Source organism: Homo sapiens, chromosome 4, assembly GCF_000001405.40.
Source record: "Homo sapiens chromosome 4, GRCh38.p14 Primary Assembly".
Classification (NCBI taxonomy): domain Eukaryota; kingdom Metazoa; phylum Chordata; class Mammalia; order Primates; family Hominidae; genus Homo; species Homo sapiens.
Window position 1 is genome coordinate 180,732,523 of NC_000004.12, and position 24,085 is coordinate 180,756,607.

The following is a 24,085-nucleotide window of genomic DNA, read 5'->3' on the forward strand; positions in this document are numbered from 1 at the left end:
AGTTGACGGAACCTTCTGGTGTGAGACAGGTCATCTTCTTCCTCCCCCCATAGAGAAGATAAGAACTAGGCAGCTTATAAACCGCTATAGAACTCTAGGTCAAGTCTGGCCAGTAGGACCTAAAGATAGAAGATAGACAAGAAGAGCCAGAGAGCAGGGTGGAGAATGAGAGATGGCGCATGGGGAAATTGGTAAGGATGGAAACACACTGTGGAGGTATCCAGGTAAAGAAGGAAGCAGTGAAAGCTAGTATGTTTTGGATTGTTTTTATGTTTCGTGTTACAAACCTGCTTAACATGAACTTGTGGGCAAGAATAGGGGTTCTAACTTCCATTTTGTTAGTCACCCCGATAGTTTTCATGGTCAAGCCCTTGAGGGGCTATTTCCTTGGTCATGGTTGAGGCACAGGAATCCTTGGTGAGGTTGAGAATCTCTGGTCCATTTAACCAGCCACATTGTGGCTCCAGATTCTCTGAATTTCTCTCTGGTCCCCAAAGACAGTACTGCTGGGTGTCTTTGTCCCACAAGAGGGACACCAACCTCTCATCCTCTGTTTCTTTTTCTTTTCTTCCTTTTTCGGCCTACAAGAACTTCCTCTTGTTGCTTTCACAGACCCTTAGAACAACCTTCAGAGAGTAGACTGCAAGAAAACAAAAACAAGTGAGCAAAGAGTCTTTCAGAAAACTTTCACTTTGGGGTTCAATAAACAGACCTCTTCTGAAGAGCGGTGCTTAAAGACAGCTTGTGACAAGTGTGGGTGTGAGAAGACAAAACTCAGTGACAAATAAAACAGTATATGTACTAATAAATTATTCTGAGAGTTCTCAGCACATCCTCCCGCAGATCCTTATAACTTTTTCATGAAATTTCTGCACTAAGCAGAATAATGCAGTCTAGTAACAGAGCTTGACCATCATTACACTTCAGAATGTGTGTACTGTCTAGCGCTTATGGGATCCCACAGCTGTCCCAAGTTGCATCCTTTTGCTATTAAATATCATCCAATTGTGCTTTTAAGCTATGCTAAGCTGCTCCCATAATGGTGTTTTTGTCTTTCCTGGGAGATAAGAAATTGCTGCTAAAACAACCTAGAATTTCCTGGCATTTATTTCTTTACTTGTTTCTTTTCATGATGAGAAAAGCTTCTTCTATGTTATTTTATAAATAATTGTTTTTAAAATTACCAGGGTATAGTGGCTTAAGCCTGTAATCCCAGCACTTTGAGAGCCTGAGGTGGGAGAATGGCTTGAGGCCAGTAGTTTGAGACCAGCCTGGACAGCAGAGTAAGATCCCATCTCTACAGAAATAAAAGGACATAAAGCTAAAAGAAAATTCCGAAATTGCATTATTTTATTTTATTTATTTTGCTGCCCAGGCTGGAGTGCAATGGCAATATCTTGGCTCACTGCAACCTCTGCCTCCCAGGTTCAAGCGATTCTCCTACCTCAGCCTCCTGAGTAGCTTGGATTACAGGCAGCCCCTACCATGCCCAGCTAATTTTTGTATTTTTAGTAGAGACAAGGTTTCACTCTGTTGGTCAGGTTGGTCTTGAACTCCTGGCCTCAGGTGATCTGCCCACCTTGGCCTCCCAAAGTGCTGGGATTACAGGCCTTTGCCACCACACCTGGCCCTGAAATTGCATTAATTTAATCTAAGCATGTGTAGATATGTGATGGCCATATTTTTTATGCTTATATAATCACATGCAATTTTTATATGGATATGGATGAGTGTGGTGTGTGTGTATATATATCTATATATATATAGATATAGATATATACACAATAAGTCCTTTCATAAAGTTACCTGCATTCCTAAAAATAACTATGCTATGCACAATCAAGCAATAAAAACCACAGAGCTCATGAAAAAAAAATGATCATGGGACAAAGCATTCAACATTTTCATCAGTGACATATTTTTTAAAAAGACAGGAACCTAATAAAAACAGTAGCAGAGCTTTACACATAAAAAATGATTGAAAAATCCACAAGTACTGCAATAAAAATGTGGCACTTAACCTTTAAAAAATTACCACATTTTTCAGGTCTTTTGTGTCAGTGGGTGTTGAATGGGCTGCAGCTTCTGAGTTACTGTGAAGTAGTGGAAAGAGGGTTCTCTGAATCTGGAAGTTTGTATCATCAAGTGTGGATGGGTGTAGATCATAGTCCCAGGCACCAAACATAACACTCAAGTGATCTTTTACAGCCTTAAATCCTGGTGTAGATTTTTGTGTCTTTGAAATATAGACCCTCTGAGCACGTGGTTATAATAGATATTTTATTTGATCAACATTGAATATTTGACCCAATGTACAGTCTTCTTCTTTAATTAACTTTGGTATTAGTGTGGACATTTTATTTTAGGCTTTCTCTGCACCTGCAGCTTTGCTCAACAGCTGAAGGCTTTGCAAATTTTAGAGAGGTTTGAAACCACTAAACCAACCACTACAAGCACTAACAGTTCTCACTTTTGCAGGATTCAGCTTTGTCTCTTTAAGATCTTCACAGGTAGATAGTTGCTCACCCTGCTAGGCATTATGAACCAGGATAATGAAATACATTTGAGATATTGAATGAGTTTTTTTTTAAATACATATAGAAAAGTTCTTAAATAAGCAGGAAACAGAAGATAATCTTGTAGGAGAAAACATACAGTGAACTGAGGTGGCCGGTAAGTGTTTGTGGCGTGTGCATGCAGGTGTTATGTGTATTCCTACCGTCTGGTTCAGCTGGGAGCGGTTTTCTGCTTTCACCTGGTGTTTCTAATAAAGAAGTCTCACATAAGCTCACTGAAAATTCGCATTATGCTCCAAATGTTCCCAAATATATCCATCACATAGGGACAAATTTGTGTTTCAGAACAAGTGCTGTAGCTGAAATGTGGTAAATGTGTGTCGTATACAAATACACCATACACATTTTATATAATTTGTGTATGTATGTGTGACAATTTTACTGTTTTGTTATTTCCTTTCCCCTGCAGATAGACAAAAAAAAAAAAAAAAAAACCCAACACCCTGTCGTATTTTTTTTTGGTACTACAAAAATCCTGCAATAAAGCATGTGCACAGAGATTTGCGTTCTTTTATTTATTTATTTAAAAGAGAGCAGTAGAATGACACCTTTTGGCTACAAGAATATCTCTACATCTCTATCTATCTATCATCTACCTCTATCTATCTATCTGTCTGTCTGCCTATCTATCTATCTATCTATCTATCTATCTATCTATCTATCTGTCTATCTAGGACCAGGTATTGCTCTGTTGCCCAGGCTAGAGGGCAGTGGCACGATCACAGTTCACTGCAGCTTTGAGCTTCTGGGCTCAAACCACCATCCTCCCATTTCAACTCCTGAGTAGCAAGGACTGTAGGGGTATCCCACCATGACCAGCTAATTTTGTAATTTTTTGTAGAAACAGAGTCTTGCCTATGTTGCCCAGGCTAGGCTCAAACCCCTGGCCCCAAGCAATCCTCCTGTGTCAGCCTCCCAACATGCTTAGATTACAAGCATGAGCCACTGTGCCTGGCCAAGAACATCTATATTTTTAATGTAAATCAATATTGCCACATCACTTTTCTAAACGGCTAGAACAAATCATTTTTATGCCAACAATATTTAAGAATATTATCTCTTGAATCTTCACCAATAGTAGATGTTATCATTTTAAAATATCCTTTGAAATCTAATAGGTCATTGATATATCATTGTTATGTTAATTTGCACTTACCTGAACAATAGAGAGAATGAAAATATTTTCGGACATCTTAGCCGCCACCTGTATTGGCTTCGTTATGATTTCAGTATTCTATCTTGTGTTCATTTATCTGTTGAGTTGTTTCTTTGTATTATTAATTTATAAGTGTCATTGTATATTATATAATTAATCTTTTGTTAGTCATGTACCTTACAAATAGTTCTCAAGTTTATAACTATAAACTGGTTTTGTTGATTTTTTTACAAATATGTTAATGTTTATGTAGTCAACTATGTATCTTTTCTTATTCTGATTCACTTGCTTTTTTATTTAATTTCTTTTTCATACGTATTCTTCAGGTCAAGTATGTGGCTGTCATAGTCATCACTGCTATCTGCAAATGTTTGCATGTCATTCTATCACCTGGACAGGTAGACGATGTCCTTGATATAGTCTTTTCTTTCAATAGTTTATAGACGTAATTCCCCCATTTTCTAGTGCCCAAAGATGTAGTAAACGTTCATTATTAGATGATTTACTTTTCTTTTGTAAGTTACTTCTTTTTTTCTGACAGAAAGGTTACAATTGTATATGTTTCTATTTTGATCAATTGATTGATTGGTACTTGGAATCTGGTAGGTAACTTTTCTTATCAGCCTTACCTAGAACTAAGTCAGCCCTGTCTGCTTAAGTATTTATTCAGCTCAGGCGCATTAGATACTCATTGTAGCCTCAATTTCATCAATTACTTCTTCTCTTCTTGAAATGTATATTATTTAAATAGTAACCTCCTCAATCTTCCAATTTACTTCCAATCTTGTACTTCCACTGCCCCAGACAATATCTGAAAAGCCCTGAATTCTTTTGTTTGTTTGTTTTGGGAAATGGTCTCACTCTATTGCCCAGGTTGGAGTGCACTGGCGCTATCTTGTCTCACCACAGCCTCGACCTCCTGAGGTGATCAGGTGATCCTCCCACCTCAGCCTCCCAAGTAGTTGGGACTACAGTTGTACGCCAGAACATCCAGCTAATTCTTTGTAATTTTGTTGAGACAGGGTTTTGCCATGATACCTAGGATGGTCTCGAACTCCTGGGCTCAAGTAATTCACTGCCTCTGCCTCCCAAAACGATAGTATTACAAGTGTGAGCCACTGCACCTGACCCTGAATTATTTTAATGCAGGTAGGTATTTGAAAGCCTAGGAATGAGGGCTAGTTATTTCATGGTTTCTGACATGTCATTGCTTCCAGGCCTACTCGGTGAACAAAGCATGAAAATGGTGTGTGTGTGTGTGTGTGTGTGTGTGTGTGTGTGTGCATGTGATGGGTCTAAAAATGTATCTCCCTAGTGACTTCACGAAAGGACTGTGTGAGTTCTCTCAGCTGCTGGGAGTACACTTAGCAGCAAACATGAGCTCCCAGGCCCTACAGGGTCTATATTTTTAATTTAAATCAATAAAATATTCTTAGCTTCACAGACCTGTCTCACCCAAGTCCATATTCTTCATGAACAAACACACATCTAATGACTGCCCATCTCGGGATAAAAAGACCTGATGTTTGAGCCCACTGCAGGGTAGGTCTGAAAGGCCATATGTGCTTCAAAGCACCCCTTAAAGTTGGCCAAGTCTTGAGAATAAATTACTTTTCCCTTTGCCCACCCCCACCCCCGCCTTCTATAGGTGTTCATCCCTTATGAATATCTTGCATATCAAACTCTGGCTTAGTGTCTGCTTCCAGAGAACCTTTATATATTTGCACATATACAAGTATATCTATAATATAGATATCTCAGTATAATATATAATATATTAAAATGTATTCATGTTAGTATATTTAGTAATATATACATTTATAAGATATATTAAATTTATGTAAGATATTATAATGAATATAATATATTATAATATGTATGTTTTATATATATTTATGGAATATATACTTATTTTTATTTTTGTATTTATCTTTCTATGAACTTGAAAACCATGACTTACAAGATATCTACCCTTCCATACTTTTAGCTTCTTTCACAGACATAAAATGCCTGCCTCTATCCTTGGTATAGTCACTTATTTGATCAATATCCTTATATGCAATCAGTCTGCTAGCCTCACAGCCATCCTCCTTCCAGATGTGCAGACATTCACTTGCCCCTACCCATGCTCCAGCTTCAGCCCACCCTATACAGTGACTTGGGCTCCAACAAACTGAAAAAGGGCTGTGCACCATTGAGAATGCTGTGCTCACCACACTGGAGCTCTGACGCTCTGTGCTGTACTGCCCCTCCTATCCCCAAACCCATATGGTCACCAAGTCAAATCCATGGCACTCAGACAGCCTTTGTTGAGGAGCCCTCCCACACAAACACCCACATCATCCTGCCTGGACTTTGCAACCCACTCTGGGCCACAGTAGCTCTTTTCTTCTAATTCTAATGCAGCTTTAGGAAGGGAAGAGGAAGAAGAATAGTATAATTTTTGAGATTCATTCATTTTGTGTTTGTTTGGAGACTGAGGTCAATGTTTAATTTCTTGAAGATGGATATCTAGTTGTTTCTGAATCAACGGATAATGATTTTGAGATTCATTCGTGTTGTTGCATGTATCAATAGTCCATCCCTTTTATTTACTGTGCAGTACCCCATTGTATGGTTACATCATGATTTATTTGTTTTCCTATTGATAGACACTTAGGTTGTTTTCAGTTTTTAGCTATTATGGATAAAGCTACTCTGGACATTCATGGGCACATTTTTTAATGGACATAGGTTTTCATTTCGTTGTATAAATATCTAGGAATAGAATTTCATTGTAAGAAGCTACCAAATCAATTATCAAAATGGTTTTACCATTGTACACTCTATCCACCAATGTACAAGGGTTCCATTTGCTCCATAACCTTTCCACCATTTTGGGTTTTCAATCTCAGCCATCCTAGTGGGAAAGTAGTAACTTGTGCTTTTAATTTACATTTCCCTAGTGACAAATGAGGTAAGACATTTTTCCATTTTATTGTAAAAGTTCTTTAGATTTTCTCTATACAAATCATTTATCAGATAGAGAGAAAGAAAATATTTTATCCTACTTATTAATTATATATTCATGTTCTTAAATAATCTATTGATAAGCATAAGTTTTCATGTTGCTAGAATCTAGTTTATTAATTGCTTTTATTCAATGTTAAGTGCTTTCTGATTTCTGTATAAGAAATATTTGATTACCCCAATATTTTAAAGATACTCTTTTTTCAGGAAGCTTTACAATTTTGGCTCTTGTGTTTATGTCTATAATCTATCTGAATTAATTTTTGTGTTTGTTTGGAGGCCGAGGTCAATGTTTAATTCCTTGAAGATGGATATCTAGTTGTTTCTGAATCAATGGATAAAAATAATTGTATGTCTTCCACTGAGTAACATTGAAAACATTTTTGAAATTCAATTGGGAAATAAATATCTTTATTTGAGAATTTTTTAGATATTTTATTTTTGTTAATTTTTAATTTAATTCCATATGCACAGAAAACATGTGACATCAATACTTTGAAATGTATTAATGACCCAGCATATTTGTGAAGCCCCATTACATAGGAAAATAATGTATTCTATATTTGTTGAGTATAGAGTTCTATAAATACCAACTAGGTTTACTTGGTTGACAGTGTTGTTCATTATTACGAATCTTTTTTTTCTACTTGTTTTATTGGTTGCTGAAAGAATGGTGCTACAATCTCTAACTATATTATGAATGAGTTTATTTTTCCCTTTTTTACTGCCAGTTTTTACTTCATGTATTTTGAAGATCTGTTATCAGGTGCATACACATTTATGATCTTTTTACCACTTTAACTGGCACATTTTATTTCTGGTATTACTTCTTGTTTTGATGTCTATCTTTACTGATATTAAATTGGCCACTCTAGTTTGCATAGAGTGAGCATTGCATGCTATTTGAAAAATCATTTTTTTTATTTTGACTTAGTTTTTACTTGATATTTGAAGTGCATCAGAGGACGAGGTGCAATGGCTCACACCTGTAATCTCAACACTTTTGGTGGCCAGGGTGAGTGGATCACTTGAGCCCAGGAGTTCAAGACCAACCTGAGCAACTTAGTGAAACCCTTTCTCTACAAGAAACATACATACACACACACACACACACACACACACACACACACACACACACACACACATTAGCTGGGCCTAGTGGTACATGCCTATAGTCTCAGCTACCTGAGAGGCTGAGGTGGGAGGATCGCCTAAGCCCGGGAGGTCAAGGCTGCAGTGAGCCGTGATTGCACCACTGCACTCTAGTCTGGGCAACAGAGTAAGACCCCGTCTCAAATAATATAATAATAATAATAGTGTGCATCTGTTGAGAAAGTAGTTTGGTCGTACTTTTTATCCAGTTTGGTGTTCTCTACCTTTTATTTGAAATGCTTAGTCCTTTTACTTGTGTTACAATTGATAGGGTTGGATTTGAATCTCCCACCATGTTGTTATTTGTTTTCTACTTCATCATAACACAGTACAGTCACACATCACTTAATGACTAGGATACCGTCTGAGATATGCGTTCTAGGTGATTTCGTTTTTGTGCAAACATCATAAACTGTGCTCACACAAACCTGGACAGAACAGCCCACTACACATCTGGACTCTATGGTACAGCCCGTTGCTTCTGGGTTATACACCTGTACAGCATCATACTGTACTGAATACTGGGGGCACCTGTAACACAATGATAATTTTTTTATTTAAACATAGAAAAGGTACAGTAGAAATACATTATTATAATCTCATGAGCTCATCATCTTATGTATGGTCAGTCATTGAAATGTTGTGTGATGTATGACTGTGTTTAGTAATATTATTATGTGAACATATGATTTATCAAAAATATTACATCCACCACAAATTGTAAGCTATGTTTTGAGATTTCCATAAATATTTCAGAGATTATGTATTATCATGAAAGAGCCGCCCAGTAAATGAAGAGAAGATAGCTCTGGTCTAGGTCCTATGCCCTCAGATGATACATAGCCTGCTTTTAAAAATATCTACCATTAACTATATTATAGTTTTACATATGAGAATATAATCCCAGTCCTTATCTTTATTTTTTTCCAGAAGGTTCTTTCAGCTGTCTGTCCATGTACTGAGATGGTGTAATTTATTTTCCAGAACATAAATCTATTTCTAATACTATATGAACTTTCTGATTGTCCTTATATATTAGCATCTAGCAACCAGTCATCAAAGTCTGGAGGTCCTCTCCTGGGAGAAGAATAAAAATATAAGGCTCTTCTTTATAAGATGAGATCATTATTGGTGTAAAGCAGAGTGGATTTCAAGATATCATACTATTCAATTAGACAATCAGGAATTCAAGCTTAAAAATTCTTCCTTACAAAAGCAGGACATAGAACGAAGTGACACATAGATCATGTCACTGATTTCTATGTATCAGCATATCAGCATCTTCTACTTCAAATGTCTTTTTATTAAATATATAAGGGTTTCAGTTTCACCTATTTCTTTTTCTTTAAGCACAAAGCAATGTCTGAAGGATGGCCTATAGATTAAAATTGTTGGGCTTGTCTAAAAGAATATTCTCTGAATGCGTGTGTGTATGTGTGTGTGTGTGTGTGTGTATCATACATTTGTGTGATACCAAAGTTCTGTCCTGCTGAGAACTATCTAAAGAAACACCATCATGAAATGTCACAAAAGCCATTATGCTTTTAAAGAAATGACAGCCTAAACCCATCAGCTATAGGGGAAGGAGGAAAAAGAAAAGAGTGAATATATGAGAAATGAAAAATGAATCAGACATAGATGATGTAGTTGCCTTATCTAGATTATTTCTCCTTCAATTCATTCTACAATTGTTTAATAAAATTTTCTAGAGTGGCAGTACAAGCAATACCAGTGATACCGCTGTGCTGATAGATCAATTGTAGTATAAGACTATTATAGCAATTTTGTGGAGAATTAGTTTTTTTCTCATATATTGAAGAACTTATTGATGAATGGAAAATTTCAGAATTGTGAATGTGCATTTTTAAAACAAATTTGATCTTCAGAAGAAAAGGAGAAAATGAACATTTTACTTAGTTTATACATTTTTAAGTATTTTATCCAGAAATGGCTATTACCACATTTTCCTGCTTGATTATGGGAATCTACAATTAATATCACGTTACTAGTTCAGATATGCCACATCTTAAGGATAATTCTTTAGTGAATGGAACCAGTGAGTCTCACACAATAAAGTAATATGTTGCTGTAAACCCTCTAACATTTGGCCTTGAATTTTGCTATTAGTCATTCTCTATTTTATTGGATCTTTGTAGGCCTAAAGTGCATATAAAATGCTGCAGAGTATTAAATCTTGATTTTACATAACTGACACTAATGTATAACTTTCATTTTTTAATCATCAACAGATGCAGCAAAATATAACTTTCATTTCTGAATAACCCATGTAGTTAACCATAGCAGGGATGGCAAGGCAACAGTATACACTGTCAGACTTTAGATAACTCGATTTAACATCAGCAATTCTGCTATGTCCATGCACTTTACATAATATTTCCAACACATAATTAATTCTCTAACAGAAAAAAAAAGTTATTAGCTTTTAGTATGTCTCCAGGCCATGTTTTTCCTATATACCCAATTTATTCATCTTAGAAGTATATAAAAGGAAGCCCTTGACAGCTATTTCTTGCTTAGGTTGAGGCAGCAGTATACTGTTAGTATACTACATGGATCTCAAAATTTTACTAGATTCCACAGAATGGCTGAAGTGAATACAGATTTTAAGTGTCAAATCATACATAGCAAACATATTATTGTCTTTGGGATTTATACGTTGTTGAGAATCAGAGAAATTATCAATGGCAATATTTTTTCTTCTTTGAAAGATCCCCAAAAACCAGATTTTAATTTATTTCTGTTTGGCTTGGAGTTTACTATTTGAAATGCTATTTGCATCCTCCAAAGACTAAAGCATAGGAAGCAGTGTCTTGTCTCAGCATTTTAACCAATGCTTGAAAAAGGCAAAAGCTCAGAAAGAGCTCAAAAAGAAAAACAGGAGATGATGTGAAGTCATAACTTCATCTTTCATTTGAACAATGTATAATATATATGTAAATTTGAAGCATTTTTAAACTGGCATTTATGGTTAAATATATTTCTTTTTAAATACCATCTGAGATGGATAATAAGCCATCTCTAATAAGGCTGCTTATTGTAGAAAGAGAAGTGATGCAGACACACTGCTCAAAGTTCACCTGTGCAGTTATTTCTTTGCTTTCAACATTATCATTCAGAAGCACCAACTTGCCACTTCTTAGTCATCAACAGAGGCAAAGAGCACACAAAAGACATTATTCTTGACAGGGGGTCTTTTTTGTAGGACTCCTTTATTTCTTAGTGAGATATTTTACTTTCACCCCTACCACATCTACATTATTGAATACAGGAAATCGAAAATCAATCTACTTATGTTGGGTTTTGCAACCAAAAAGGGCAATCATGCATTACGCATTTAAAGAAATAGCAAAAAGGGCAACCATGCCCAAACACACACAGACTCACTGAGAAAAAGGCAGTGTGACTCACTGAAAATTTGGCCTTCATGCTCAAATATGGTTTCAATGTGAATTTAAATCGTGTTAACCTTGGTTTATCCACAGTATAATATTTCCGGTGAAGAAGGATTCTAATTATTTAGTGAGTATTTTTAAATAGTAATTAAAATAATATCAAAAACCGTCAAGTCGAATGACTCACATGGAGAGGAACACCAAACTCCACAGAATTCTGCACACCTGACACATGAACAACAACGAAAAAAGCAGAACTTAAAGCATGTAATATATTCATTATTTCTAAGGTATAATTCACTATTATCTCTAAAAACCAAAGCATTGCTAGTGGTACATAATTGAATTTGAATAAGAGATCCAAAGACACTCTCCTTCTGTCAGAAATAGCACCCACCTGACTCTTTTAAAGCACTGAATATGTTCAGTTGCGTTTAATTCTATTTATAAGAAAATAAGACTCTTCCTAATTTATTTTTCTCAACAATCCAGTAATAGAAAGGAATTATTACTGCCATTTTAAAAATAAAGAAACTGAGTTCAGCTGGAGGTTAAAAGTGTTTTGCAAGACCAGACAATGCTGACAAATGTCAAACACAACACAGAAAATGCATCTTGTGCCTCTCGGCACATTGCCCTTCCTGTCATTTCCCCATGCAAGGGCTCACTCTTCTGATGCTGTCTCTAAGAGTTCAGGAACACTGAAACAAAGTTATCAAAGACTACATATTTCACAAATAGCTTCTAATAAGTTGCTTAGGGAGTGAAAGTAGACATTAGGTGAAGAACTGAGAATACAATTTATTTATAATTTATTTATACTTTGCTTTTTTCTGAAACGAATTATCTTAAGATATCATCTGGAAATATTGAGCCAACTTTAGAGGGCAATTAAGATATAACTTTTGAGTAAATAATGTATTTTTACACCAGGTTTTCTCTCTATTCACTGAGGAAATATCTGCAGATAAAGATAAATTCAGAAAGAAAGATTAGGTTAGATTTAGTCATTTGGATCAATGTAGAACCTATTATGGTCTAAGTATTATATTGATTATAATTTCTATCAATTTAATTCATTCCACTTGGCTCTGAAATCTCCTCTGGAGATTCCAAAAGGAATTAGAACTCAGATTACTGCTTCTTTTGATACATCTAATGGCACAGACCTTAATAATTTAAAAACTTTAATGACTGGTGTTTTTGACAAGTTTAAAAAGCTATAGCTCCTCTGTGTGTGTAAAATCCGTTAATTCAGTGATTCTCAATCTATGGACCCGGTACCAGCAATGTCAGCCACATGTCAGGTCTTGTTAGAAATGCTAATTGTTGGCCTCATCCCAGATCTATGGAATCAGAAACTCTGGTCGGGTGCTCAGCAATCTGGGTTTTCACAAGCCCTCCAGCTAATTGTGACACTGGCCAGTGTCTAAGAATCACTCCAATAAAGGAAGCATCATGTAGGCAGAGCATTCTTTAATCTTTATGAGAAGAATTGAGAGATAAGCGTATTCTTCTTGACTGTTAAACACTGAACATTGGTAGAAATCAGGAGAATGGAATTTTGTTTGTTTACCACATCCATTTTTATAACTATACAATAACCAATTGATAAAAATAGATGCTTTTGTGTTTCTGCCAATGCTGCCTTTTTAGCTTGGAAAAGCCTATTTTTGTATTTTATTTTATTTTTCCATTTAATAATTTTTTTGAGATAGGGTCTTACTCTGTCATCCAGGCTGGAGTGCAGTGGCATGATCACAGCTCACTGAAGCCACAACCTCCCAGGCCCAAGCGGTCTTCTCACCTCAGCCTCCCAAGTAGCTGGTACCACAGACATGTACCATCACGCATGGCTAATTGAAAAAAAATATATATATATAGAGAGAGACGGGGTCTCCCTATGTTGCCCAGGCTCGGAAAGTCATTTTTAAAGAGCTGATTAAATCAGCCTTATGGTCCTTGTCTCAAGGTACCTGCTGTCTGTCCCTTTCTGCCATGGTCCACATAGATAGCTTCATACATTTTTTAAAGAACTGTGTTTCTTGAATTTGAAGAAAAAAGATTATTCGTAAGATTTTTCTAGGAGAACCTAATTTTGTCTTTTTAATATCATTTTGTAACTTTTCCAAATTTCAAAAAATAAATCTCAGAATAGTGTGTTGTATATGTTTCATATAAACATTTTCTGCTTTATCTGTTGAATGTAAACATTTCTGTTTAAAATGTAGGTTTCAAAGAAACTCTTTTTAGAGTTTATGACAATAAGAAAAGATTTAATACGTTTAAACATTTTCATTAATGACATATTAATCCATACCTATGTGAGGATGCAAGTTATAATTAATTGAGCCAGTTTTTGTAATCTGCTGTAGATTTTATGCATATAATATAGGCATTGTGGTTTTAAAGATGCATACCTAAGTATAAGCCTACATTTTAGAGAATAATAGTTGTCAACTCAGATATTTAAAATATGTATATAACATAAAGGTAGTTGAAAGTGCTAGTTGACTTTTTACAAAGATAACTGTTTTTGTTGTTCATTTCGAAAACACTGAAATGGTGGAGAAAACCCGTGGACATCTATAAGCCTGCCTACTAGACATTTTGTCTCTAAAGATGAAATGGGAAGTGCACTTAAAAGTTTCCTTTGGTACTTTCAAAGACAGCAGAGGATTTTACTTTGCATATAGCATATCTTTGCTTCCCATGTGCTTCAAAGGATTAAACACCAAAGTCTCCATTAAAGGCAGCTATTTTCTCTGATTTTGATATTGGCCTGATATTTTTGATAGATATTCTGATCAGGGCAACATCAGGAACCACAGATATAAATAAAGGAACTTTCTGCTGTCCCTCCACACAGTTTTAAAAATGTATACATTTGTTAATCTTGTATTACAGAAAGAGTCAGTATAGGAAATATATCTTAAGGAATATTTTTTTCCTTGACTCTCCTTGTTCCCCCTACTCTGACACTTTCTCCTTTGAAAAAAATAGATTATAATGGCTAAATCTAAAAATGATATCTTCCTCTACAAAACAAAAAGTTAAAATCTGACTGGCATTCTCATTAGAGGTGAATAAATGGGACGGGAAACAAGTTTATGTTATTAGGTTGTGCCTTTTTAAATTTCAAAGTGGTTGTGGATTTTACTCTCTAATGTGTGAAGTGGAGGTGAATAGATACTGACTACTGGCCATGAGCTTTGGCGATACTGCTTGGAGTGGGTTGGAGGGGGACGGTAGGCAAATTAAAGGGATGCAAGTGGATTCAGGAAAATGAGAAATCTATACCCTTAGCTGGGATTTCTTTTCCAAATATAGTCACCCCTTGGTATCTGCAAGGGATTTGTCCCAGGCCCCCTGCAGACACCAAAATCCACACATAGTCCAGTCCCACAGTCAGCCCTGCAGAACCCAGTATCGGAAAAGTCAGCCCTTCGTATCTGCGAGCTTATCATCCCACTAATAGATTTTCAGTCTTTTTTGATTACAGATGCAGAACTTGAGGATAGGGAGGGCAACTATTTGTTAAACAAAATGAGTGAATAAGTGGCCTGGGCAGTGCAAGTCTGTGTTGTTCAAGAGTCAACTGTATGTTAAAAAATAATACTCCCGTCCTTGATTGTAACTTAAGATACCTCCCTTAAATCAGAAGACTCTCCATGTAACAGGTTATTGAATTGTGCAAAATATGAGGGGTCATTCTCCCCAGAATTTTCTAATCAACAAATTTCAAACATTTGATGTACACCTTTATATCACTTATAATTTCCTTTCAGAAGTTTTAACAGATTCATTTTTTAATTTAGATTATGATTAAATATTTTATATACGAGATTTATAAATTTTTGAGCTGAATTACATATTAAAGAGGAAGAAAAGGTATTTTCTATCTCCCCTCCTACCAGATGGTTAAGAATGGAAACAAAAGTTAGTGAAGATTGAGTAAATATAACAGTCTCAACTCAAATGAACCAACCCCTTCCCATTCCAAACATACAATAAATTATAAACACAAGTACATGCATACACACACACACATTCAATAGGAATAAAAGTTAATATCATGGTGTTATTTTTTAAAAAGTAGAGACTCAACAAAGAGAGGCATATATACGAAATCCCAATGATTTGGGGAGTTTCACTCTTTCTATATAATCCTTGATGGTTAGGGAGTTTAATTTTAATATGCCTGAAGGAACACAAGGTCTCAGAACTGCTGAATGTGATTCTCTGGAAATGAGAACCCTTCCAAACAGCCAAAAGCCTCAAAGAACTGATTCATTTATAAAACAGGGATGACAAAAGTTCTGATGTTCAACTTGGGGAAGCAGCCCGCAACTGTACAATCAGGTCCCAACATGAGTGTGGGCTAAATTCACATTGCCACTTGTTTTAGGACCTCAAGCCAAGATTATGAGGAAAACTTGCATGAAAATAATAAAACCATCAGAGACCTGGTGGTAGAAAAATTTAATAATTCTTTTTGAATGTACTGTAAACAAAAGTCAATGATTTACTAAACCAGACAACACTGGAAAAACTTCATATAATGGGATAATTTGAAAAAGATTGTAAAAATCTTTAAGATGTTTAAAAGCGTAAACTAAACTGTAAAACAAGAATAATGTATGAAAAAATGTACAATCAAATTATAAAAAGAAGCTAAACAAATTCTAGAAAAGAAAATAAAAGCATTGAAAAAAAATCATATTAGGTGAATTAAACAGCAAAGTCGACATAGCTGAAGAGAGAATCAGTGCATTGTAGAAAAATCTGTAGAAATCAAGTTAAATAATTCATTGAAATAAATGGATGGAGAATACAAAGAGGAAGCAGCTAAAATAGAAGATAGAATGAGAAGGTCCAGCATACATTCATGAGAATTTCCAAAGAACAAAATTCAGAGAATAAGGGAATAGTATTTTCCCATAGGTATGCCAAATTATTTCATAGAATTAGAATTCTCAGATAAAAATGGCTCCTTGACTCCTAAGCAAGGTAAGGAAAAAGCAATCTATACCTAAACATACCATAAAAATAGAAGATCCTCAATGAAAAAGAGAAAGTTATTAATCTGTAAGACAAAACATGAGTAACTTCCTAAAAGGAATAGAAAGTAGTCTGACAACATACTTTTCATTATCCAAAATAAAGCACTGAAGGCAATGGAATGAAAGGGTATCTTGAAACTACTGATGAAAAATAAGGATCAACCTAAAGTACTATATATAAATAAGTAATTATTTCAAGAGTGAGGACAAAATAAAATAATTTCTAATAAAACTAAGAGAGTTTTCTGGTTGTGGAGACTGTCTGTATAATGGTCCTGTCATTTCTTCTCTTTCTGTTTACCTGGGCCATTTCCCCATCAAGAGATGGAGTCCATTCTTCCACCCCTTTGAATCTGGACTGCCCTGTGACTGCTTGCCTAATAGAATATGGTAGAAGGGGCTCAGTGATAGTTCTGAACGTATAATTTAGAAAGATTTTCAGCTTTTGGCTTTTTTTTTTTTTAACTTGTAGGTTCACGGGTACATGAGCAGGTTTGTTATATAGGTAAGTTGTGTGTCACAGGGATTTGGGGTACTGATGATTTCATTACCCAGATGATAAGCACTTGATAGGTCATTTTTCGATCTTCAGCCTCCTCCCACCCTCTACCCTCAAGTAGGCCCTGATGTCAGTTGTTCTGTTCTTTGTACCCATGTGTACTCAATGATTAGCTTCTACTTATAAGTGAGATCATGCAGTATTTGGTTTTCTGTTTCTGCATTAGTTTGCTAAGGATAATGGCCTCTGGCTCCATCCATGTAGCTGCAAAGGACATATCTCATTCTTTTCTATGGCTGCATAGTATTCAATGGTGTATATATGTGTATATATATATATGTGTGTGTGTGTGTGTATATATATATAATATATGTGTGTCTATATAATAAAAATGTTATATATGTGTGTGTGTGTATATATATATATATATAAAACATTTTCATTATCTAGTCTACTGTTGATGGGCATTTAGGTCGATTCCATGTTTTTTCTATCATAAATAGTGCCATAATTAACACACACATGCAAGTGTCTTTATAGTAGAAAGATATATAATACTTTGGGTATGTACCCAGTAATGAGATTGCTGGGTTGAATGGTAATTCTGTTTTAATTTCTTTGGGAAATCACCAACCTGGTTTCCACAGTGGCCGAACTAATTTAAATTCCCAACAACAGTGTATAAGCATTTCCTTTTCACCACAACCTCGCCAGCATCTGTTATTTTTTTCGTTTTAGTAACAGCCATTCTGACTGGTGTGAGATGGTATCCCGTTGTGTTTTGGATTTGTATTTCTCTAATGATTAGTGGTGATGAGCATTTTTTATATATTTGTTGGTTGCATGTATTTGTTCTTTTGAAAAGTGTCTTTTCATTTCCTTTGCCCACTTTTTAATGTTTTTTTTTTCTTGTAAATCTGTTTATTATAGATTCTGGATATTAGACCTTTGTCAGATGCATAGTTTGCAAATATTTTGCTTGATTCCATAGGATGCTTTGTTGATAGTTTCTTTTGCTTTGCAGAAGCTCTTCAGTTTAATTAGGTCTCATTTGTTAATTTCGTTTTTTTTTTTTTTTTTTTGAGACGGAGTTTCGCTCTGTCGCCCAGGCTGGAGTGCAGTGGCGCGATCTCGACTCACTGCAAGCTCCGCCTCCCGGGTTCACGCCATTCTCCTGCCTCAGCCTCCCGTGTAGCTGGGACTACAGGCGCCCGCCACCAAGCCCGGATAATTTTTTTGTATTTTTAGTAGAGACGGGGTTTCACCGTGTTAGCCGGGATGGTCTCGATCTCCTGACCTCGTGATCCGCCCGTCTCGGCCTCCCAAAGTGCTGGGATTACAGGCGTGAGCCACCGCGCCCGGCCGTTAATTTCGTTTTTGTTGCAATTGCTTTTGGCACCTTTCTCATGAATTCTTTGCCAGGGCCTATGTCCATAATGGTATTTCCTAAGTTATCTTCCAGGGTTTTTATAGCTTTAGGTTTTACATTTGAGGCTTTAATCTATCTTGAGTTGATTTTTGTACATGGCATAAGGAGTGGGTCCAGTTTCCATTTTCTGCATATGGCTGGCCAGGTATCCCAGCACCATTTATTGATTAGGGAGTCCTTTTGCCCTTTCTTGTTTTTTTTTTTTTTGACTTTGTTTTGACTCATTTTTTAAGGCCCCAAGTCACAATGTAAGAAGCCTGACCATCAAGCTGGAAAGGGCAAATGAACAAACCTTGGAAATAGAAGGGGCCAGCTTAGCTTAGACTTCATGTTGTACCTGGCAAAGTGCCAGCCTTGTGAGTAAAGCTATCTTGGAACTTTCAAGAAAGGTCAGCTTCAAGCTGGATAGTACCAAGTGATTCATTCAGTCAATACCGTACAGAACAGCAGAATCAGCTAGACAACCTCTGCCAGAAATTCTTAGCCATAATATATGAGACAGAATGGAATGGTAGTTGTTTTAGTCACTAAGTTTTGGGATAGTTTGTCACAGCAATAGATAGCCGTATATTAGTTTTGATACAGGCTGAAAGAAATAGTAAAGGATATACTTCAATAAGAAGGAAATTGATGCTAGGAGGCAGAAATGACTTGAAGATGGACTAACAGCTAAAAACTTGTATAAACATGTTTTTAGCCTAAATAAGCATTGTTTGTTAACAAAAACAAATTTTAAAAAACTTGGATAAGTAAAAAACAGATGGAAATAAAATAATAGCAATATATCAAAATTGAAAAGTTAAGAGATAAGACTTAAAAGTTTCAAAGGCTTTGAAAAAAAATCAGAGGATATTAGAAGTACTAATTAAATTTAAACATTAAGTTAATAATTGTATACAGAAAATGTTTAACAAAAAAATACTATCTAAGATTTATAAACAAATAGGGGAGAAGAAGAAATTAAAAAATTTTCTTAACTTAGTAAACAGGAATTCAGAAAGAAGCATGAACCTTTTACAATAAGGCAAAAACAAAGTAACGTGGTAGAAAAAAGTCTAAATACATCAGAAATCACAATAAATATAAATAGACTAAACTTGTTCATTGAAAGATATTCATTTGAGTGGAGGCTGCAGTGAACCAAGATCACACCACTGTATTCCAGCCTGGGTTACAGAGTAAGACCCTGTCAAAAAAAAAATGAAGAAACATATTTGTATTAGTCTGTTTTCATGCTGCTCAAAGAGACATACCCAAGACTGGGCAATATACAAAAGAAAGAAGTTTAATGGACTTACAGTTCCACATGGATGGGGAGGTTTCACAATCATGGCGGAAGGCAAGAAAGAGTAAGTCATGTATTACCTGGATGGCAGCAGGTAAACAAACTGTTCGTGCAGGGAAACTCCCCCTTATAATACCATCAGATCTTGGGAGATTTATTCGCTATCACAAGAACAGCACAGGAAAGACCTGCCCCCATAATTCAATCACCTCCCACTGGGCTCCTCCCACAACACGTGGAAATTGTGGGAGTTACAATTCAAGATGAGATTTGGGTGGGGACACAGCCAAATCATATTATCTCACCTCTGGCCCCTCGCAAATCCCATGTCCTCACATTTCAAAACCAATCATGCCTTCCCAACAGTCCCACAAAGTCTTAACTCATTTCAGCATTAACTCAAAAGTCCACAGTCCGATGTCTCTTCTGAGACAAGGCAAGTCCCTTCCACCTGTGAGCCTGTAAAATCAAAAGCAAGTTAGTTATTTCCTAGATACAATTGGGGTAGGCATTGGGTAAATATAGCTATTCCATATGAGAGAAACTGGCCAAAGCAAAGGGGCTACAGGCCCCATGGAAGTCCAAAATCCAGCAGGGCAGTCAAATCTTAAACCTCCAAAATGATCTCCTTTGAGTCCATGTCTCGCATCCAGATCGTTCTGACCCAAGAGGTGGGTTCCCATGATCTTGGCCAGCTCTGCCCCTGTGGCTTTGCAGGGTACAGCCTCCCTCCAGCTGCTTTCATGGGCTGGTTTTGAGTGTCTGTGGCTTTACACACAGTGCAAAAAGCTGTCAGTGGATCTACCACGCTGGAGTCTGGAGGATGGTGGCCCTCTTTTCACAGCTCCAGTAGGTGGTACCCCAGTAGGGACTCTGTGTGGGGGTTCCAACCCCACATTTCCCTTCCCCACTGCCCTAGCAGAGGTTCTCCATGGGAGTCCCACCACTGGAGCAAACTTCTGCCTGGACATCCAGGTGTTTCCATACATCCTCTGAAATCTAGGTGGAGATTCCTAAACCTCAGTTCTTGACTTCTGTGTACCTACAGACTCAATACCACGTGGAAGTTGCCAAGGCTTGGGGCTTACACCCTCTGAAGCTACAGCCTGAGCTGTACCTTGGCTCTTTTTAGTCAAAGCTGGAGTGGCTGGGATGCAGGACACCATGTTCCTAGACTACACACAGCACAAGGACTCTAGTCATGACCCACAAAACCACTTTTTCCTCCTAGACCTCTGGGTTTGTGATGAGAGAGGCTGCCAAGAAGACCTCTGACATACCCTGGAGACATTTTCTTCATTGTTTTGGGGATTAACACTTGGCTCCTCATTACCAGTGCAAATTTCTGCAGCCATCTTTAATTTCTTCTCAGAAAATGGGATTCATTTTTTTTTTTTTTTGAGATGGAGTCTCACTCTGTCACCCAGGCTGGAATGCAGTGGCACAATCTAGGCTCACTGCAACCTCCTCCTCCTGGGTTCAAGCAATTTTCCTACCTCAGTCTCCTGAGTAGCTGGGATTACAGGTGCACACCACCCCACCCGGCTAATATTTTGTGTTTTAGTAGAGACCGGGTTTCACTGTGTTTCCCAGGCTGGTCTCAAACTCCTGAGCTCAGGCAATCTGCCTGCCTTGGCTTCCCAAAGGGGATGGCGTTGTCAGGCTCGAATTTTCCAAACTTTTATGCTCTGCTTCTCTTGTAAAACTGAATGCCTTTTGAATGCATTGCTGCTTAGAAATTTCTTCCACCAGATAATCATCTCACTCAAATTAAAGTGTCACAGATCTCTAGGGCAGGGGCAAAATGCCACTAGTCTTTCTGCTAAAACATAACAGGAGTCACCTTTCCTCCAGTTCCAAACAAGTTCCTCATCTCTATCTGAGATCACTTCAGCCTGGACCTTATTGTTTATATCACTATCAGCATTTTTGTTAAAGCTATTCAACAAGTCTCTAAGAAGTTCCAAACTTTTTCACATTTTCTTATCTTCTTCTGAGCCCTCCACACTGTTCCAACCTCTGCCTGTTACTCAGTTCCAAAGTTGCTTCCATATTTTCAGGTATCTTTTCAGCAATGCCCCACTCTATTGCTACCAGTTTACTGTATTAGCCCGTTTTCATGTTGCTGATAAAGACATATCTGAGACTAGGCAATTTAGTAAAGAAAGAGGTTTAATGGACTTACAGTTCCATATGGCTGGGGAGGACTCTCAATCATGGCAGAAGGCAAGGAGGAGAAAGTCACATCTTACATGGATGGTGGTGGCAAAGAGAGAGCTTGTGCAGGGAAACTCCCATTTTTACAACCATCAGATCTCATGAGACTTATTCACTATCACAAGAACAGCACAGGAAAGACCTGCCCACATGATTCACTTCTCTCCCACTGAGTCCCTCCCAGAACATGTGGGAATTATGAGAGCTACAAGATGAGATTTGGGTGGGGACGTAGAGCCAAACCATGTCAATATTCATTTGAAAATTAAAATTCAGTCAAATCCAGTTTGCAAAAGTCACTCCTAAAAGCATATATCACTCAATGTCCGTAAGTAAGAAAATGCCAAAAATTTACTAAAGAAATCTGGTTCAGTTATTTTAATATTTAACACATTTTATTTAAGGCAAAAAACATTAGGGAAAATAAGTCTATACTTAATAAAAATAGTGATTCGAAAATTATGACAATCATTAACATGCATACATTTAATATCATATGTATGTTAATTTATTTAAAGGAAAATTGGACAGGCTTGCAAAGTGAAATTTAAAAATCTATAATCATGGTGGGAAATTTTACCATATCTCTTTCAGAAACTGATGCATCAAAGAGATAAAGGAAAGGATAACAACAGAAGTTTTAAATAATACAATGAGCTAGCTTATTCTAAATAACATTACCCAACCTCTCACTCACACTCCCAGAAGTAAGTAAATATACTCATTTCAATCACATATGGATTAAAAGAAAACTAAGCACATGCTAGGCCATAGGAAAATGATCATCTATAAACCATGTTCTCATATTACAATCCAAAAGAATTAGAAATAATTAAAAAACTATCAAAAGAAACATATACTGGGGAATTCAAAAGCATGCGTTTCAATATTAAAGTATTAAAGAGAAAATACATAATGGAAATATTTAAATACTTGTGAATGAAAGACTATTATGATATGTGTGGAAATATATTACATATTGCTATAGCAAAACAAAGCCAGGTTGAGAGCTAGGGCACTGAACTCAAAAAAGTAGGTATAAAACACTGAAACATACTCAATAAAGTAAAAGAAAGCAAAAAAAATAGAGCAGAAATTAATGGAATAGTTATAAAAATATGATGACTTGAAAATAAGAAAAAGATAGAAACTTCCTAGCAAATCTGGTCAAGAGCTGGTGGGGAAGTAAAATAAAAAGCTCAAACAAACAATGTGAGGAATGGAAATGCAGCAATTAATTAGAAATTAAATAAAAATACCAAAAACCATGTTATGATGATAAAGTTGAGTCTTTGTTGAAATGTTCTGTATTTTAGAAAAGAAAATACATTGCCAAAAAAGATTTATAAATAGCAGAAGCCCGAATAGAACAATAGTTGTTAAATTAATTGAATCTGTGTTGAAAATAGCTGCTCTCATGTCTTCAAAAATGGCACTGGCTCCAAATAGCTTTACAAACAAGTTCTACCTAACATACACTTTAAAAATCTGGTACCAAGAATAAAGAAAGAAGACCTCGAATTAGAATAATTGCTATACTACCATTACCACTACTGCCTTCCCCCATTAAACACACACACAATACAAGCACACATACACACACACACACACACACACACACACACACAAAAGATCAAAAAATAAGAGTATTAGGAAGAAGAAAAACTATAGTGGGCAAAGTTAGAATATTGGAAATCTATCGTCAGTAGACATGTGAAGATACACCTTCAATTTTGTAGAATAAATCCAAGAGAGTGTTTTCCCCCCAATAATTTTATTTTATTTTTTAATATTTTGTGGGTGTATAGTAGGTGTACATATTAATGGGGTACATGAGTTGTTTTGATACAAAAGTTGTTTTGATACAGACATGCAATACAAAATAAGCACATAGTGGAGAATGGGGTATCCATCCCCTCAAGCATTTATCCTTTGAGTTACAAACAATCCAATGACACTCTGTAAGTTATTTTAAAATGTACAACTATTATTGACTGTAGCCCCCCTCAAGAGAGAGTTTTTAAACATATATACCAGATTGATTTTACTTCAATATGTGCAGTTTTCATAAATAATATCATCTGGAAGTAAGTGTTGAGACTCTTACCCTCAATAATTAGAACATGGTTTCTTTTTACTATCTGCAAACATTACTGAAATAGACAGGAAAGGAGGCTTAAACAAATGCTATAATTGATTTTTTTAAGTAAATAGTTTTTAACAGGGGAAGTTTCTATGGGAGAAAAATGGAAAGAAATAATCAGAAGTCTGTAAAAAACCTCAGTT

General features: G+C 36.2%; 1 long non-coding RNA gene across 1 annotated transcript; it reads right to left on the reverse strand.

The window, feature by feature from the left end:
* Positions 1 to 568: 568 nt before the first annotated feature.
* LOC124900820 (uncharacterized) lies at positions 569 to 8,424 on the reverse strand. Its single transcript, XR_007058398.1, has 2 exons — positions 8,322 to 8,424; positions 569 to 640 (listed from the first exon to the last, which is right to left on the reverse strand). It is a non-coding gene; the product is annotated as an uncharacterized LOC124900820 (long non-coding RNA).
* Positions 8,425 to 24,085: the final 15,661 nt, after the last annotated feature.